General features: G+C 48.5%; 1 protein-coding gene across 16 annotated transcripts in view, besides 9 other annotated features; it reads left to right on the top strand.

Moving 5' to 3' along the window:
- ZNF516 (zinc finger protein 516) overlaps positions 1-17,877 on the top strand; it is a 138,738-nt gene that overhangs the window by 37,348 nt on the left and 83,513 nt on the right. For 14 of the 16 annotated variants that reach the window (XR_007066258.1, XM_047437953.1, XM_047437952.1 and 11 more), the window contains one exon: positions 15,861-17,827. Coding sequence is in view for 15 of the 16 variants with exons in the window: in XM_047437953.1 (XP_047293909.1) it covers positions 16,018-17,827 (1,810 nt within the window). In the remaining variant the exon portion in view is untranslated. The other 2 variants (XM_047437955.1, XM_047437954.1) reach the window with 2 other exon arrangements.
- Positions 980-1,479: an enhancer, noted in NCBI's record as "H3K4me1 hESC enhancer chr18:74169549-74170048 (GRCh37/hg19 assembly coordinates)". NCBI's record gives its function as "activates a minimal SCP1, AML or CMV promoter by ChIP-STARR-seq in naive H9 embryonic stem cells {active_cell/tissue: H9 hESC(naive)}" and the evidence as "EXISTENCE:reporter gene assay evidence [ECO:0000049][PMID:30033119]".
- Positions 1,480-1,981: an enhancer, noted in NCBI's record as "H3K4me1 hESC enhancer chr18:74169047-74169548 (GRCh37/hg19 assembly coordinates)". NCBI's record gives its function as "activates a minimal SCP1, AML or CMV promoter by ChIP-STARR-seq in naive H9 embryonic stem cells {active_cell/tissue: H9 hESC(naive)}" and the evidence as "EXISTENCE:reporter gene assay evidence [ECO:0000049][PMID:30033119]".
- Positions 2,818-2,877: a silencer, noted in NCBI's record as "silent region_9553". NCBI's record gives its function as "represses an Ori minimal core promoter by ATAC-STARR-seq in GM12878 lymphoblastoid cells {active_cell/tissue: GM12878}" and the evidence as "EXISTENCE:reporter gene assay evidence [ECO:0000049][PMID:35858748]".
- Positions 2,898-2,977: a silencer, noted in NCBI's record as "silent region_9552". NCBI's record gives its function as "represses an Ori minimal core promoter by ATAC-STARR-seq in GM12878 lymphoblastoid cells {active_cell/tissue: GM12878}" and the evidence as "EXISTENCE:reporter gene assay evidence [ECO:0000049][PMID:35858748]".
- Positions 9,352-9,851: an enhancer, noted in NCBI's record as "H3K4me1 hESC enhancer chr18:74161177-74161676 (GRCh37/hg19 assembly coordinates)". NCBI's record gives its function as "activates a minimal SCP1, AML or CMV promoter by ChIP-STARR-seq in naive H9 embryonic stem cells {active_cell/tissue: H9 hESC(naive)}" and the evidence as "EXISTENCE:reporter gene assay evidence [ECO:0000049][PMID:30033119]".
- Positions 9,852-10,353: an enhancer, noted in NCBI's record as "H3K4me1 hESC enhancer chr18:74160675-74161176 (GRCh37/hg19 assembly coordinates)". NCBI's record gives its function as "activates a minimal SCP1, AML or CMV promoter by ChIP-STARR-seq in naive H9 embryonic stem cells {active_cell/tissue: H9 hESC(naive)}" and the evidence as "EXISTENCE:reporter gene assay evidence [ECO:0000049][PMID:30033119]".
- Positions 11,239-11,816: an enhancer, noted in NCBI's record as "H3K4me1 hESC enhancer chr18:74159212-74159789 (GRCh37/hg19 assembly coordinates)". NCBI's record gives its function as "activates a minimal SCP1, AML or CMV promoter by ChIP-STARR-seq in primed H9 embryonic stem cells {active_cell/tissue: H9 hESC(primed)}" and the evidence as "EXISTENCE:reporter gene assay evidence [ECO:0000049][PMID:30033119]".
- Positions 11,817-12,395: an enhancer, noted in NCBI's record as "H3K4me1 hESC enhancer chr18:74158633-74159211 (GRCh37/hg19 assembly coordinates)". NCBI's record gives its function as "activates a minimal SCP1, AML or CMV promoter by ChIP-STARR-seq in naive H9 embryonic stem cells {active_cell/tissue: H9 hESC(naive)}" and the evidence as "EXISTENCE:reporter gene assay evidence [ECO:0000049][PMID:30033119]".
- Positions 12,396-12,974: an enhancer, noted in NCBI's record as "H3K4me1 hESC enhancer chr18:74158054-74158632 (GRCh37/hg19 assembly coordinates)". NCBI's record gives its function as "activates a minimal SCP1, AML or CMV promoter by ChIP-STARR-seq in naive H9 embryonic stem cells {active_cell/tissue: H9 hESC(naive)}" and the evidence as "EXISTENCE:reporter gene assay evidence [ECO:0000049][PMID:30033119]".

Below are 17,877 nucleotides of genomic sequence, written 5' to 3'. Positions count from 1 at the left end.
GTAGGGTATTTGAATGAGTGCTTTTATGTAGGTTAAGAGATCACACACATGTGCTCTCTCAGACACACACACACACCCTCGGGCACACTAGCACATGCTCACACATGACACTCAGTCTCTCTCATGTTCACCCAGCTGCTTCCACACTCACTGTCACACACTCTAACCTTTACACACAGGCACGCACACACACGACGGTGAGGCCTGGCATTGCCTACAGGCATGCACACACACAACGGTGAGGCACGCACACGCACGACGGTGAGGCACGCACACGCACGACGGTGAGGCACGCACACGAGGCACACACACGCACGACGGTGAGGCCTGGCATTGCCTACAGGCATGCACACGCACGACGGTGAGGCACGCACACACGACGGTGAGGCACGCACACACGACGGTGAGGCACGCACACGCACGACGGTGAGGCATGCACACGCACGACGGTGAGGCCTGGCGTTGCCCACAGTGCATGCCCCGTCCTGAGGGTCCCGAGCACTACTCCTGTGCCCTTGGTCCTCTCAGGGACGGGATTCCCTTCGTACCTGTCTAGAAAATGCCCCCCGAAACATCTGTGTTGGGAGGGAGAGCGAGCCTTGTGCAGGATGCTTGCTTGGGAGAGAAGCGCAAGAGTATTTGAAAATAGGAACCTTTTAACTCCACCCCACTGACGTTTTCTTTTTCATAATTTTCCTTGCAAAGCACCTTTTTGTGAGGACTTGGGCCCGTCAGGAATTGGAGCTCCATGCACTGCGGGTCCACAGTGCTGTCTGTAGGGTTTTGGAAACTGCAACTTTAAGTGAAAGGACGTAAAATGAAACTCATGTTTCCTTTCCACATCAGCTTTAAAACAAAAAGACTTTATCAAGGATTTCTGTTTGTCATTTCGCATCAAGTTACAGTTTCCAAGAAGCTATAGATGATGTTAACTGAGGACCTACCGTGGCACTTATTAGCTAAGTAAATGATGGCATTGAAGTGTCAGGAGAAAAATGGCCCTCTGCGTATTTAAAACCATGGTGCGCCTGATGTGTGAGGCAAACGTATCCAGCCGAGGTGGATATCATTGCAAATAAGTAGCTGCAAAGTACATTGGGCCTTGAAGGTGAGAAGAAGCTTATCTCTGCAGAAGTAAAAGAGTATTTTCCATTTGTGTCCTAGTGAGCTGTCTTTCAGAGAGTGGCATGGAAAGGAATTTTCCTGCTAGATTCCAAGACTGGATCGACATGTTCTTACAAAGGGAACCTCCTTGGGTTTAAAAAAATGTTGATTATTTCTGGCACCCTTCTGTCCCTGAGACCCAAGTCAGTGGTGGGAGTTGCCCCCATATCACTCTTTTTTATTTTTATTTTGAGACAGGATGTGAGTCAGTCACCTAGGATGGAGTGCAGTGGCATGATCATGGCTCACTGCAGCCTCGACCTCCCCGGCGTCAGGGATCTTCCCGCCTCAGCCTCTTGAGTAGCTGGGACCACAGGCATGCGCTGCCACGCTCGGCTAATTTGTATTTTTTAATCTTTATATAGAGATGGGATCTTGTTATTTTTGCCCAGGCTGGTCTTGAACTCCTGGGCTCAGGTGATCCTTCCGCCTCAGCCTCCCAAAGAGCTGGCATTACAGACGCCGCCCACATCCCTCTTTAAAGCATGATTTTGCATTTGGATTTAGTTTTGGAAGATTTCTTATTTAGTTAACGTAGTTTCCCTTAAGGGATTTAAGAACTAGTTTGAGATAACTGCCCTTCTCAAAGAAAACAAATATGGCTCTGCTTATCAAAAGTGGAGATATGTTCAGTTTAAGAAGGAGAGAAAGCTTAAAATTGTTTATAAATCCTGAAGCTCCTTGTTGAGAACTTTCCAGAAAGGAATCTTACATGCAAGGAGCATTTGTAGATCATTTTCTTTGCCACATACATGTGGTGTAATAAACATATACCTACACACGCTTAAAAGGGAATGTCTTTTTGTTCACTGCGTGTTGTCTTACTGGCAGGCTGCATAACCCTTCTCCTGTGCTGTCAGCTTAATTTAGCCTGATGACAAATCTGAAGCCTGTGGTCTTCCCTTTCTGTGGCTTCCACTGTTGCAGATAAAACAGGTGGTACCTGTGCGTGATTTACCCAGCCTCACAGCACAATATAACAGATGCATATTTAATGCAGCAAAGTGATTTTGGAAAACAACAAAACTCAGAGTAAACGTAAAACAAGAAATTGAAAGCAGTATTATATGTTTGCATGAATAGCTTGGAAAAAGGATTTTAAGTGTAAAGCTGAGAAAGTATTTGTGTTTAGGATGGAGCCACTGGCCCCCCCCCACCCCCCAGCCCCCATGTGAATCAGTGAGTTTTGCCTTCTGAGTTACGTTACCCAGATAAAGATGCAGCAGCAGAGTCTCGACCTGCGCCTTCATTCTGACCGTCGGGGTTGACTGTGTGGCCCAGTGAGGATGAGCCACACACACATTCCCGGGAGGAAGCCTGGGCTGTGGATGGCAGGCTAAAGTTACAAAGCACATTGAGGGCGTCCTGATGCTCTGGACTTGGGTGGACTCCTTAGCTTGAAGCTGTGGGTCCCAGAAGGCTGGCCGGGATAGGCTAATCCCTGAGCCGACTTTTAACACACTAGTTTATGTGACTTAACACCAGCTAAGTGGATGACAGTCTCCTTAGTTATTGATGGATAAAATGGAAGCAAGATTTTGGGGCCTTTAGTTGAGCAAGGTCTCCAGCGTGCTTATCTCTCTTGCCTCCAATTCTTAGTCATCCAGATTTTGTTTTGCAGCAAGGTCCCTGAATAGGCACTACTGCTCATCGCCCCAGAGTTAGCAAGGCAGAAAAAGGTTCTGCTTGAGCAGTTTAAGCTGCCAAAGAAGTCAGGCCAGGAGCGTGAGCTAAAGTGAGCATCTATTGTTTCACGTTCGCCAGGGCTCCTGAGAAGAGGGGCGAGCACTGATGCTGTCTTTATCTGGAGTGACAAAGGAAGGAGTGAGTTTGGTGGCATCTCATTATTGATGGGTCCTACCATCCTCCTTGAGTTACAGACGATACCTGACTGTTTGAGGATGCCGAGCCCAGTCTCTGGGAGGGGAACAGGGAGGTAACAATGGTCTCTCTGGCTGTCAATTGTGTTTATTAAAGAATAATGGAATAGCAGCTCATTTAGATAATCGAGGTGGAAGCACACTTTGGAGTCATTTTTCAGTACCTTGGTTCGGTGGGCAAGCTGCACACACATGCTCATTTTCTTTCTCTCCCACAGAGGTTTGTGCATGGAGAGCTCTGTGTAGCGTGTCACGTGTGTAAGTGCAGACTCTTTGTGACACAGACTTGCATTGGCGCATCTCACGTGCCTGTTGAGAGTAAGTTTATAAGTAGTCTCTTCTTTCACCAGGTACTTGTTTCTGTGGTTTGTTTTCATGAAGGTGAATGTAATTTTCTTGAATCAGATGTGATAGTATCTGGAAACACAAGCCTGGGCTGCCAGGGGCTTCTCCTGGCTCTCCTGTCTGCCCTTGGCTGTGCTTACACCCTGCTGAATGGGAGCAGGGAGGCCTAGGTGGGCCTGAGTCCTTGAAGTCCCCCACCTGTGCCGGCAGTGATCCTTTCCAGCCTCCATCTGTCCCTGAGCAGTGCCTTGCACAACTGTTCACAACATTTGCATTGGACAAATCAGAGAAAAGGAGTCTAGGGTTGTGTGTGTTGCTGTGTGCCTCCAGGTTGGGGTAGGAGAGAAGTTGCAGGAAAAGAGAGAGGAAAAATGACCGTGGTTGTAGAATGAATGCATTCTTCCACTGCGTAAACCCGTGACTGTTCTGACCTTAATTTCAAACATGGACCTTCTGTGACCAAACGGACTATCCAGATGTAGTCACTGAATTAGTGTCATGGTCTTCGAGTTCTTGGAAAATGTTCGCAAAGCAACTGTGTGACTGCTGTTTGTCTTTCTGTTTGACTTAGGACAGCTTTCCCCCATTAAAGTGTGACAGTTTATTCCCATATAACCCAGGCTGGGATAAAGGGTAGATAACTGTCCTCTTTGGGGACCAAGGGGATGGGGCGGGGGTTGGCAATTCTGAAGTTAAACATTATGCCTTGTTACGTTTTAAATTTATTTTTACCAGAAGCTGTTGCTGGGCAAGATGTTTTGGCTTAGAAAAATGTGCCCACCCTCATTTCTGCAAGGTTGTTTATGATCACTTCAGGTGCAAAGTTTTCTTAACTTTTGTAGCTGAATAATGTAACAACATTGTTACAGGGAGTTGTAGTGGAATTTTGCTTGTTTATCCTTTTTTGTTTCCTGCAAGGAAAGAATAGATCTTCTTTTATCTTCAAAGCCTGGAACTTGCAGTAATGTGTCATTAAGTGTGTTTGAAAAAATATTTTTAGACAGGCAGTGCAGGGTAAATCCTATGGAAATGTGACATCATGTTTTTGTCAGGAATTGCTCTTTGTAAACATTCTCTGATAGATCACTCTCCTTAAGCAGCTGAAATAGCCAACTGCTTTCAAAGGTGCTGTGTATGTTAGTGATAAACTAGGTCATGTTACAGTCGTTATTGGCAGTAATGGAGCTGGAAAATTTAAACTGGTTATAGTACATGTGCTATATATAGTAAAGCATTTGGGAAAGATTTGTCCTTTTGTAATTTTGATCATCTTAAAGTATTGATTGGTGTTTGTACAATGATAAACAAAATCTTAAGTAATTCCTTGCACAATACGCCTTTCAGCTATCCTATCAAAATCTTCTTAGTTTCAGCGTATCTGTTTTTTTCTTTTAACAAAAAATGCGTAAGCAATTGCTTAGAATTTGGTAAAATTGATTATTGACGTGTTTGTTTTTCCTCTATGAGCTCTTAATGAAGGGATTTTTTTGGGCGCTGACTTCTGTGCTAAACAGCACTACATCGGAAGGTAATGTTTAACAGAATGCCTTATGGCTTACTGCATACAATTATCTCTCTTTGTATTCTTGGGCACAGTTCTTTCTTTCATTTGATGGTGGGGACTTCTAGGGTCTTTCACAAAAAGCACAGAGGGACAAGAGAATGTCAGATAGGTATTAATTGCAATCTGTATTCTTATACTGGGAGAGAAATGTTGGTTTTAATCAAGTGGTTGGAAAATAGGACTGTGTGTTTGGGAGGCGAACATTGTTCTTTGCTGCTGGTTTACATGGCATAGTATATACAGCTTATTTGTAGAAACAAATTTCAGTTAAAATATATTTTATGATAACTCATAGAAATTTCGAAAAAGCATGTTTAGTAATGACTAGGAAGTGTCACCCAGTTAAAAAATACGAGTTTCTGCACCATTGTTTTGTTTTCACTGCTGATCATTTCTAAGAAAAATTTTAAGAAATTTTATATTAAGACACTGAATTAGTTAACAGTTTCCACAGTTTTGAGTTTAGGCTCCGTAAAATCTTTAAGCCACTTCTAAATTGGGTTCTTGCTGCAGTTCATCGAAGGCCTTCTGATTTTCCATATTTGTTTTAAAGATAGAAATTGATGAGTTTTCATTTTCTCTGGTGTTCCCTAGGTTTTCAGTGTTTCTGAGTTATGCGCAACTTTAGCTTTAACTATTGTAGTGTAAGATGTAGACGGAGTCAAAGTGAAAACCCAGTGCTTCCATGGCTTTTGTAATGAATAGCGAGTGATCTGTTCTGTTTTTGTGGGAAGGAGAGCGGCCCCTCAGTGACCACAGGACTTCATCTGAGCCGTGGGTTTGGGGGAGATGCAATTCTAAGCTTCTGGAAATGGGGCTCTTAATGGAAATGTTGACAAGATCATTAACTATACTAGCAATGCTGGCTGCTCCAGAAGCCTGGATTTACCTCCAAATCCCTAACGCCAGCTCTTTGTGGCAGACGAAGGGGCTCTAAACAGCACATTTATCTGCAGAAAATTATGGAGCAGGCTCTGGATCCTGTTATTTTTTAGTTCTGTGAAGTTTACTTTTTTAGTGATTGGCAAAGCAACTACTTAGTATTAAGACTTGGAAAATAGTAAATAGTAAATGACAAGTAACAGTAATGCAATAATTTTGGAGAGCAAAAGAAAGGGAACGAGGCTCCTTCCCTTCTGATATAAAAATAGCCACCCCCTGTTCTTCATTTTCACACGGACACTCCTTTATTAAAAAGTCTCTAGAACTATCTTGAATTTCCCAGGATATGGTAAGGACTGTGGAAAGAAAATTTCCGTATCCTTCCTCATTTTTTCTTGGACTTTTCTGAATGTAATCCATAATTAGATTGTGTATTCAGCTGCCCCTCCTCCCCCAGGTCATATTTCAGTAAAAGGACACACGGGCAGCTTCATACTGGTGATGTTCAAGGGACTTCGAGAATATATTGTGATACTGTCTTTACTCTTAGCAAATGTTCTTCTATTTGAACTTAGGTGGAAGATGGAGTTCTCTCTTTCCTCTTGGACCAGGAATTAATTTGGGTTTTTTGACAGTTTGTGGTAAACAACTGCATAAAAGGTAACCTACTTGCGGAAGAATAACATTTAGGTCATATATGCATTTTGGCTATAAATAGCATGATGACTCCAGCCCGTGGTCTGAGGTGCAGAGCCGGAGAAGGCTGTGCTTAAAGGATCAGAGTTCGCGTACTAAAGCCTTATTACGGACAGTTCCTTACATTTGGGGACTAGCATGCTGGCACTTGCTTTGATTTATTTGGGGGGTGCTAAGTAATGTAAAGACAACCTTTGTTTTAGAAAATGGGGCTTTGTCATTCTCCTTCACTCTACCTCGTTTTCTGAACAAAGCCGGCTGGAGACTTACCTCTAGAATAAATGTTTTGAGCAGAAAGACCTAAGCACATTGTTCTCTGGCTGCCCCCACATCAGGTCTGTTGTGGTCAGGGGGCCGCGTTGCTGCTGGCGGCTGCTCCCTGGGATAGTGGCGTTTTGTGTCCTTTTTCCCCTAGTGGGGGAGGTGGGTGGAGTTTCTTGTGAATGCTGCCGATTCTGGTCGCCTTTTATTCATTTCTTCTTCTTAGAGTGGAAATGTAGCTGGTTCATAATGGATTATTGATTGGTCTGAGAACAGCAGCCGCCTCCAGGCCTGTCATCGGCCGTACTTACTCTCCCAATAGTGAATGCATCACTTTATGGGGCTCTTCGGGACCCCAGTCTGGGGACTATAAGCCTGTAATTGTTACTGGTGTACAGAATGGTTTGTAGGGAGAGGAACTCTTCATTGTTGTGATGGAATTTTCCCCCATTTGTTGAGAGAATAGGCTTTTTGTCTCAGTAGTAAGATAAGCTTGTCCAGGATGTTAATGATGTATTTTAATTCATGGTTCATAATACTACAGTGTAACTAGTGAAGCCCGTCTCATTGTTTCCCGGAGAACAAACACACACAGTATACTCAAACACCAACTGGGCCTTGCACCCACTCAGCACACGCACGGGCTTCTGCGCCGACCCCGTAGTAGCTGTGGCCGGGACCAACCGTGTCTGAGAGTCGTCCTTCAGAAACGCACCAGCGTAGTTGCTCTTTTAGATTTTATGATTTGCCTTTTGGAGCCATCATACGCCTTTGCAGACAGCCCTGTAAATATCGGAAGCATTCTGTCTGCTTTGAGCTTTTTGGCGTTTTCCCTCCCTCCCCAATTCCTCCCGTTCACTCCAGCCCCTCCTGAGGAATGCCCTGTCAGCGGAGATGTGCGCAGGACCGGGCTGTCACCCCCCTGCACCCGCGGACATCCATCCCGGGCTGACATCGGTGCCCCCCCCGCCCCCGGAAGGTGGTCAGAGAGGACGCAGACGGGGATAAGTAAAGCCACATGGCGTCGGGGGAGCCAGGGCTGTTTCGGGACCGCGATAAGGTTAATTCATGAACCAGAACTGAAAAAAATGCCAAGCTAGATAGGCATTTGGAAAGCAGCACCCACTTCAGCTTTGCTTCCCTCCCCTGACACATGCTGCTTGTGGGGACTTGGTGCAGGAAACGGGACTTTCAGTTTTCCTCTCGCTCCTTTGTTCCTCCCTGGTGTCTCCCAGTCAGCTTTGCTTGGTTTCCGCAACTTTAAGCGTTCGATTGTTGAGGAAATGACTCTAAATACGAGAGCATATTTGGTTAGCCTTCCGGTGCCTTTTTCGGGATAAGGTTTTAATAAGGTCAACTTCGGTAGTTGTAGGGAAATCAGTACACAACCATTCAGCTTTTGTTTTGTACTGGTTTAATTCACAGGCAGAAAATGGCAAGATTTCCTGTCGATTCAGAGACATAGTTATTATTTTAAAATGTAAGATGTTTTACAGTTTTTCCCTGATAACGCCATATTTAACTGGTCAGAACATTATTGTTGAAAATAAGGAAGAGGAAACCTGCACCGCGTTGCTGATTTTTTACTTCGTCAAGTGCTGGGAAGGATAGTTAGGAATGCCAGAATACACTCAGAATGCCAGAATACACTGAATTTTGGCTGATGTTCGGGAGAGTTCGTGTTGGCCACAGAAGGCTTTGCAACTGGAGCCCGTGGGTGGGTTTCTTTAATGGCTTTGGGCAAGCCTCTAAAACATCAGAAAGCGATCTTTTAAAATAAAACACTGCTTTTCAATTGAACCAGGTTCCTATTATTCAGACGATTTTTCTTTGACTTTCTTTGGAAAACTTGAGTTAACTAAAGGTAGTTTCCCAACCTGCATTTATTACAGCCCTGGAGCTTCTGTGGGGCCTGGGGAGGGTGGGGAGTGGGGGAGGGGGAGGGGCAGATAGGGGAAGAGGCCTACCAGGTCCCTCAGAGCTGCTTTGCTTTTGTGTTACTGGAGTGGCAAGTAGGATTTATTTTTTTAACTTTTAGGAAAAGTTTGCCAAATTTGGAAAAATGGAAAGAGTTAGAAATAAACACCCCCCCCCCTTTAGTTTCATGAGTTGTTAACATTCTGGTACATTTGCCTTCTCTCCGTCTCTCTCTTTCTCTTTGGTAAAAACCAACTCTAAATATTTCATTACACATCTCCAAAGAATAAGACCACTCTCCTATATTACCAGCTTAACACAAGTAACAGTAGTTCTCAAATATCCTGTAATATCCAGTCCATATTGAGGTTTAATTTCTACGAAGAGTTCTGGAGCTACAATATGTTTGAATGTGCTCGTTGTAGATGATTATAGGTGTTGGTCAAAGACTTTTTAATTGTGTTAAATAACCTGTTGTTGTATAAACCATAAGGGCCCAGTGAATATAGAGGTGTTCCTATTTAGCTATTTTGAATCCAGCTTTCTAGCTGCTATTTTGTCCTTTTGCATTTATTAAACCATGTATTGTCATTGCCAGTGACCAAGTACCTTTGCACTGATATTTCATTCACTTATTGAACAATTACTTATTAATCCCGTCTAAGATGGATTGAAGATTTACAGTGTAGTAAACATTGTGGCTTGTATGCATTAATTTAAATTTTACTGGAGTATGATAAAATAGATATCATTGCTATCATTTACATTTTAAAGATGAAGAAATGGACTGAGGAATAGAGAGGCTAAGACACTTGCTCAGGGTCACACAGCTGACCTCAGGTAGTGGCAGAACTGGGTTTTAATCCCAGGTAGTCTGGCTGCCTCTCACAACTTGTTGGGTCACCAGACTCTTATCATTGGCTGAAGGAGGTCAGGAAGGCTGTACTGTACCTGGGTGGTGGTTGGTCAGCCTCATGACAGGTGGGGCAGGGACGCAGGCCTGAGGGCCAGAGGAGAGCATGAGCATGGGTACTTGGGAGGCTGTTGGGCCGGAGTAGGGCTCAGGGCTCTAGACACCGGGGTCCAGGGCAGCTATGGGGTTCAGACCCTGAGAAGCCAAGGTGAAGAGTTTGGCTTCATCTTGCAGACTTGGGGAGCCTCTGAAGGGCTGGGAGACTGGTGGAGACCGGCCCCATCTGTGCTCTGGAACGATGGCTTTGGCTTGACTTGGGCACATGGATTCAAGAGTGAGTTGGGAGGTGCAGCCGACAGGATGTGGGGTTATTACTGGGCACTGCTGAGATGGGGAGGGAGGAGCCAGGGAGGACCTGGTGTTTTGTGCTTGGGTCATGAAAAGTACTTAGAATTCAAGCCACACCAGTGTGGTTCCCAGGTGAGCCTCAGGTTCCCAGGGGAAAACCTGGCCAATCCTTGCAAATATAGTGAATCGCTTCCCTCCTGGCCTTCTGGAAACTTCTCCTTGTCTTACTGGTGCGCTGCCAGCACGCTTTGATAATAGTATGCTTCCCTGTCTGACTTTGAGTTCCTTGAAGCCGGGTGCTTTTTTTGAGTCATCTTAGATTCTCTGGCTCCTGATACGAGGCCTTGCACTTGGTAGGTGCTCAGGAAGTGCTTGTTGCAGGGATACCCTCGTTAGCCCCTGACCGCACCGCCCTAGGACTGGAACACCTCTAAGGAGCCTGCCGTCACCTGAAGTTCCTCGGGGATGTGGACAGAGACTGCTTCCGCTATGTTTGCGCTGTACATACCCCCTGGCTTTGTGAACATGGTTTTCTTTCTGGCTGTATGTGTTGTATCAAGGCTTTGCAGTGCTTGTTTCTAAAGAAGTTTCTGTAGTGTCAGTGGGGTTAACCCTGGGTACACATTTCTTCACACCGGGAAGTGTTTCAGCAGCTTACCGGGGCGTGTGTCAGGAAGTGACTTTTCTGCTCTGTATTATTAGGTCAAAAAGGCAGTTCTTCCTCACTTACAGAAGGGATTGATTAGTTGAAATACTGGCCTACAGAGTAAATGTATCCCAAATTTAGCAAATGTAAGTAATCTGGAGAAAGTCATTTAATTTCAATTGTATGATATAGGCAAAAAAAGAAAGACAAGGAAAAGAAAAAGAAAAATATCCAAAGGTATGGCAGCAGCCTTAATATATATGTCTTTAGATGTTTTTGATGTTTACATGGTTAGTTTTAAAATGTAGCTACATATTTTCTACTTTATATTTTGTCCTTTCTTCAGACTCTCCCCTTCTCCGTTACAATGTATTTTTATGTTATGAGTAAACAGTTTTTTCAAACATTTTACTTCCTGTTTTTTAATAAATGTGATTGTTACCTAAGTTTTTCAAAATGAAATAAAAAAATTTATTTCAAAAATTATATAAGGCATTTAAAAAAAGTGGCCTTGAACTGTTGATTACATCTCTGGAGAAACACACACACATACACACACACTCACACACACTCACATACAGCAAGAGATCCATTGGAAATCTGCTTTAAAACCCTAGTCAGCAAGTCATATTTATGCCTAAACAATTAAATTACGGTTTTGTCTGGCATGTTCCCAGTTCCAGCCTTGGAAAAAGTTTGTAATACATCTTACCAGAACAACAAATCTGTGATTGAACACACAGGCACACCATGTGTTCAGATGGGTCCCTGCCGTCCGAGGTGCGTGGGCGCCATATTGCATGTCAGCTGGACACATGCTGTACCCTCCACCTTGGCTCTGAGCATCTGTGTTGTTGCAGAACCTTTCCGTATTCCCTGTGGTTTGGGTGGCAGGCTCACATGCACAAGTTTTATAAGGCTGGTTATCTCCAGGCCCGTGTGTTACAGGGAGAGTTGGAACAACTTGTATTTGGCGTGCGTTTGAGAAAGTGGAATAGAGCAGCCCAGGACGGAAATGTCTGCGGCTGGAACTGAGGTAGGTAGCACTTTATCACACGGCGCTGCTCCTACGTGAGGCACGCCCCACTAGGGACCAGGATAAAGGTGGAGGAGGCATCCCATCGAAACCCTCCTGGCTTACAGGGGTTGGCGGGATTTAAAGCACAGCCCGTCGTGCCAGCAGGGCCGCTGACGTCCCAATAATCCTCCTAATTGGGGCGGCCGCCCATGGCGTGTTTTGAAGTTGGAAGCTCTGAGGACAGCATTCTTGTTCTTTTTTTGGAAGGGATGCCCTTGTCTTAAATAGCAATTTTTGCCTGCAGCTAAAAAGAATGATTACAGAGATCTTTTGATTTGGCCACTGAGTAACCCCTTAGGAGAGTTCGTTGCAGGGAATTAATTTTTGACTGTTTCTTTAAGGTTTGAGAAACTTTGCTAGTCAACTGTGGACATCAGGAGGGGATCACTTAATCAACCCCTGGGCAGAGGCAGCTTTGCTCACGTGTCCTTCAGATAATGGCGGTTTGGGCTTAACTTGGTTACTGTCTCAGCACTTTTTCTATTTCTACATTTATGTATCTTTCCCTTCACAATGTTCTTAAGTCTAAAAACACATCCTGTGCAGTTCTCACAGGGATTTACAGCAGGTCTTATTTTTGAAAGATGGGACAGGCGGAGAGGTAGTGAGCAGGAAATAGGAAAGAAGGAAGAGCTTGCTTTGTTGATCGCAGAGCATCGTGGATGCTGCTCCTTGAACGTCTGCCTGTAAATTGCAGGGCTCTGCAAGTTTCGGGGAAAGCTTTTAAGTGAGTTTAAGGAAATGGAGACTGCATTCTCTAGTCACCGGGTGCCTGAGGGCCAGGGTTCAGGCTCTAGCTAGGGCGGGGGTACCGGGGAGTCAAGGCTGTGCAAGGATTGGATGGGTCCGATGCTGGCACAAAGGCCTTTCAGATGTACAAGGGCCATGCTCCTTGATACTGTGCCATCTTCCGCTCAGCCGTGGTCATGGCCCAGGATGCCGAGGCTGTGCTGCTGAGCTGGGCTAGATGGGGCTGTATTTGGGGGCTCTGGTGATCCACGAGCGAGAGTGTCTGTATTTCCCCAGCACTCCTGGAAGGGTACCTGCAGGGTAGGAAGCTGCCTGGGATGAGAAGAGGGGCCTAAGTGCCAGGTGTGTGTTTGCCTGGATGTCCCTGGGGTCTGGATGCTGTGGGCTCTGAGGGGGTCACTGGATTTTATAGAAGGAGGCATTTGCAAGGGGCTTCGGTGACATGTGGCTTCTTCTTATTGTTTCTCTGTGCCTGACAGAGGAGGGGACGAGTTGAGGGCGTGAAGGACACGCCTAGAAAGGCATGTGGCTGGTGACTGGGAGCATGAGGGCTGGGACCAGGGTTCCCAACTGCACGTGTGCACTTTGTGCTGAATGCCCTGTGTTGGCCATGACCCTGTGACCTGCACGCTGACGGGTGCACAGCTGCTGGCACACAGCTGGCTGGCACAGAGGCCGCTTCTCTGGGCGCAGACCCCAGGAGCTGCTGCTCTGAAAGAAGGCAGGAGCTGATAGCCCTAGAGCACAGGGTTTTGGTGATTGGTGTGAGTCTTTGCACAGAACAAATCTCCTTTTGCTTCATGCTGCACTCGAGGGCTGTCTCTAACGGCCCTGACCAGGCCTGGGCTCCTCCTGGGTGAATCCTGTCTCTGGAGCTGGCTTCTGGCAGTTGAATTCTCTCGAACTGGAGAAGTGTCTTGACATTTAACATCCTTTATAGACAAACGTTGGAGGTCCAGGGGAGTCTGTACAATTATTTCAGAGCCACCAATTTCCAGGATTTTAGTTGTTTTTCTTTTCTTCCCTGTAAACGTATTTTCTATATGATTGTTCGCACTTGTAAGGTTTTTATACCACATCCAGTCACTAAGTTAGATATAAATAGTGTGTTTCATTCATACTTTGAATATCAGATTCAGCATTTTTGTGGGGGAGTGAACTGGGGCCTGGGGAAGGACGAGGCTTTCCTGTGAATCACTTGCCTTGTAAAATCATCATAAATCATTACACAGCCATCCACAATGAGTGCCAAGACCAAAATCATTTAAATTAGCTTGGAGTAAAAGGTCATTAAGAAATCTTCCTGGTAAGCTTATTTACTTCTCCAGTTTTGGGGGAAGTTTTAATGTTGTTGTTGTTTTTTTTTTTTTGGAGATGGAGTCTTGCTCTGTCACCCAGGCTGGGGTGCAGTGGCATGATCTCAGCTCACTGCAACCTCCCTCTCCCGGGTTCAAGCGATGCTCCTGCCTCAGCCTCCCGAGTAGGTGGGACTACAGGTGCACACCATCATGCCTGGCTAATTGTTGTTTTTTATTGGAGCAAGTGGGTTTTGGCTCCTCTGGGTGGGCATCTCTCTCATGCCCGCTCTGTTGCATGGCTCTGCTGGGTGCGTTCCTGGAGGAAGGAGCAGAACCTCTGTGTTGCTGCTTTTCATTTGCTGCTGAGGCTGCTCGTGTTTCCTTAGGCGCCTCCAAAGCGGGGCTTTCTGGAAAGACATTGTGAAGCCTATAATTCTTGATAAGGTTTCTACCTGGCGCTGTATTTGCCTGTGAGAGGGCACAGCATGGGGTCTGTCTTTTCAGAAGGCTCCTGTCTTGCTGTTATCTGGGCCCTCGGGAGTTGAAGTATTAATACAAAATGCTCAGAATCCCCGACCCCCGTGGGGGAGGTATGGGGACACTCTTGACACCGACACTGATTTTTTAGCTCATGCCCCTTCACCCCCTCAGGTCTATTATCAGTATTCTTTTCTGTGTCCCATCTGCTTCCATGAAAACCTGGGAGGCTGCAAAACTCGGAGCAAACAGGGAGCTGCCACCCCAGGTCTTTTCGTGGGTGGCCCTGTCATCTTTCATGGAAGCTGTGTGTTAATGTGTTGTGTGCTTCCCAGCCGGAAATATGGAGCTGCTTTGGGTTTTATAGATGTTTAAGCAGGAGTTCTTAGTGTGTGTGAGATTGTAGGCTTATACAAACACGCTTCCTTTCTATGCGAAATCACTTGGGTTTTCAGAACATGGCCCATCTGGGTGCCTCTCTGTGCAGGTCTGGAGCCGGCCCCAGAAGGGAGACCCTCTCTGGACCCTTGGAAGCAGGAAATGGATTTGTTCTATGCAGAGATGAGCAGATGAGCAGAGCCTGTCCCCGGGGAGTTGTCTGTGCAGCCCCTCCCTCTTGAACACTCAGACGCTGACCTGAGAGACTCGACATCTCTCACATCCTTTCTAACTGGCTCATCGTTCTGCTGCTTTACCTTACTTACCCTGTGTCAGGTGGGATTCCTGTTTTTACTGAAGAGTTGCTTTTCTCCTTGCACCATGTAGGCCTCTTTGGTTGGATACAAGCATTTTGATTCATGCGTCCCTCGTCCTTGGTGGGGGCCTGTTCCGTGCTGGACACAGCTACTCTCTGGCAGGCTGCCCTTTGCCTGTGTGCCTGGAGGGAGTGGGCCTCTGCCCTCCTCACCCTCTGGTGGGTGGGATGGGCATGTAGGTGGCGGCCATGCAGGGTGGTTGATGCTCACTGTTTTCAGGCTTGGGCACAATCTCTAGGAGCAGACCCAGCCTCACTAGGAGGATGCTGTGGCTTCACCATACAGCCTAGGTGTGTTGCGGGCTGTGCCATCTTGCGGGTGTGTGTGTCCACTGTAGGATGTCTGCACAGGGACGAAATCGCCTAACAATGCATTTCTCAGCTCGTATCCCATTGGCTAAGTGGCACGTGACTGTGTGTGTGAAGTGCCGTCAACTGTTGTCACCACCTGTGCAGCTCACCTTCCATCAGCCCAGGAACTTGGCCCCTGTTCTTATTCCTGCCCTTTTCCTAAACCTTGCTTTCCTCTGTCCCTAATTCCCACATGGTCTTGCTAAGTAGCTGGTATTCCTCACACTCCTACACACTCTGGTACTACAGTCTCTCCTAAAGATTTGATACCTTATTGGGAAAAGAAAATTATTTTGGTGCACAATCATTAACATTTATGTTAATCATTTAACATAGTTCATTATTGATAATTAAGTGATACTGATTTTTTACTAAGGCAAGCAGCTGCTCTCGCCTGTGTGTGAAGTGTTGTTGGTGCCGCTTTTCTTAATGTGGGTTGGATGGGTATGTTTTGGGGAGCATGTGGGGGTTCCCGCAGCCATGCCTGTGCCCTCTTAGCCAGGAGCTTTGCTGATGATGTTCCATCTCTGTTTCAGGTGCTGGCTGCCAGCTGCTGCGCCCCCCATGTAGAAGGTGCACCTCCTGGGAGCAGGCACGTCTTTTGGCTCTTCTGACCATGGAGAGATAGGACGGTCCCTGCAGCCCGCGCGACAGAAAGCTGTGCCGCCACCACCGGCCGCGCCCGTCCTTCGGATGGATCGCAACAGAGAGGCCGAGATGGAGCTGAGGCGAGGCCCCAGCCCCACCAGGGCCGGCCGGGGCCACGAGGTGGATGGGGACAAGGCTACCTGCCACACCTGCTGCATCTGCGGCAAGAGCTTCCCCTTCCAGAGCTCGCTTTCGCAGCACATGCGCAAGCACACGGGCGAGAAGCCCTACAAGTGTCCCTACTGCGACCACCGGGCTTCCCAGAAGGGCAACCTGAAGATTCACATCCGGAGCCACCGCACGGGGACTCTGATTCAGGGACACGAGCCGGAGGCGGGCGAGGCGCCGCTGGGTGAGATGCGCGCCTCCGAGGGCCTGGACGCCTGCGCCAGCCCCACCAAGAGCGCCTCGGCCTGCAACCGGCTGCTGAACGGGGCCTCGCAGGCCGACGGCGCCAGGGTCCTGAACGGGGCCTCGCAGGCCGACAGCGGCAGAGTCCTGCTGCGGAGCAGCAAGAAGGGGGCAGAGGGGTCCGCATGCGCCCCGGGGGAGGCCAAGGCAGCGGTCCAGTGCTCCTTCTGCAAGAGCCAGTTCGAGCGTAAGAAGGACCTGGAGCTGCACGTGCACCAGGCGCACAAGCCGTTCAAGTGCAGGCTGTGCAGCTACGCGACGCTGCGGGAGGAGTCGCTGCTGAGCCACATCGAGAGGGACCACATCACCGCGCAGGGGCCCGGCAGCGGCGAGGCCTGCGTGGAGAACGGCAAGCCCGAGCTGAGCCCCGGGGAGTTCCCGTGCGAGGTGTGTGGCCAGGCCTTCAGCCAGACCTGGTTCCTGAAGGCGCACATGAAGAAGCACCGGGGCTCCTTCGACCACGGCTGCCACATCTGCGGCCGTAGGTTCAAGGAGCCCTGGTTCCTCAAGAACCACATGAAGGCGCACGGCCCCAAGACGGGCAGCAAGAACAGGCCCAAGAGTGAGCTGGACCCCATCGCCACCATCAACAACGTGGTCCAGGAGGAGGTGATCGTCGCCGGCCTGAGCCTCTACGAGGTCTGCGCCAAGTGCGGGAACCTGTTTACAAACCTGGACAGCTTGAACGCCCACAATGCCATCCACCGCAGAGTCGAGGCCAGCCGCACGCGCGCCCCGGCCGAGGAGGGGGCGGAGGGGCCCTCGGACACCAAGCAGTTCTTCCTCCAGTGCCTGAACCTGAGGCCGTCGGCGGCCGGCGACTCGTGCCCTGGCACGCAGGCCGGACGGCGGGTGGCTGAGCTGGACCCGGTCAACAGCTACCAGGCCTGGCAGCTGGCCACGCGGGGTAAGGTGGCCGAGCCGGCCGAGTACCTCAAGTACGGGGCCTGGGACGAGGCGCTGGCCGGGGACGTGGCCTTCGACAAGGACAGGCGCGAGTACGTCCTGGTGAGCCAGGAGAAGCGCAAGCGTGAGCAGGATGCACCAGCCGCGCAGGGGCCCCCGCGGAAGCGCGCGAGCGGGCCTGGGGACCCCGCGCCCGCCGGCCACCTCGATCCCCGCTCGGCCGCGCGCCCCAACCGCAGGGCCGCAGCCACCACCGGCCAGGGCAAGTCCTCCGAGTGCTTCGAGTGCGGCAAGATCTTCCGCACCTATCATCAGATGGTGCTGCACTCACGCGTGCATCGCCGCGCGCGCCGCGAGAGGGACAGTGACGGGGACAGGGCGGCGCGGGCCCGCTGCGGATCACTCAGTGAGGGTGACTCGGCCTCCCAGCCCAGCAGCCCTGGCTCCGCCTGTGCCGCTGCTGACTCCCCGGGCTCTGGCCTGGCCGACGAGGCTGCCGAAGACAGTGGTGAGGAGGGCGCCCCTGAACCTGCACCAGGTGAGCAAGTGTACCCAGGTGGCCTGGGTCCTGGGATCCCAGGCTCAGGG

Source organism: Homo sapiens, chromosome 18 (assembly GCF_000001405.40).
Source record: "Homo sapiens chromosome 18, GRCh38.p14 Primary Assembly".
Taxonomy (NCBI): Eukaryota; Metazoa; Chordata; class Mammalia; order Primates; family Hominidae; genus Homo; species Homo sapiens.
Note: the sequence above shows the minus strand (reverse complement) of the source record. Positions and strands in the feature narration are given on the sequence as shown.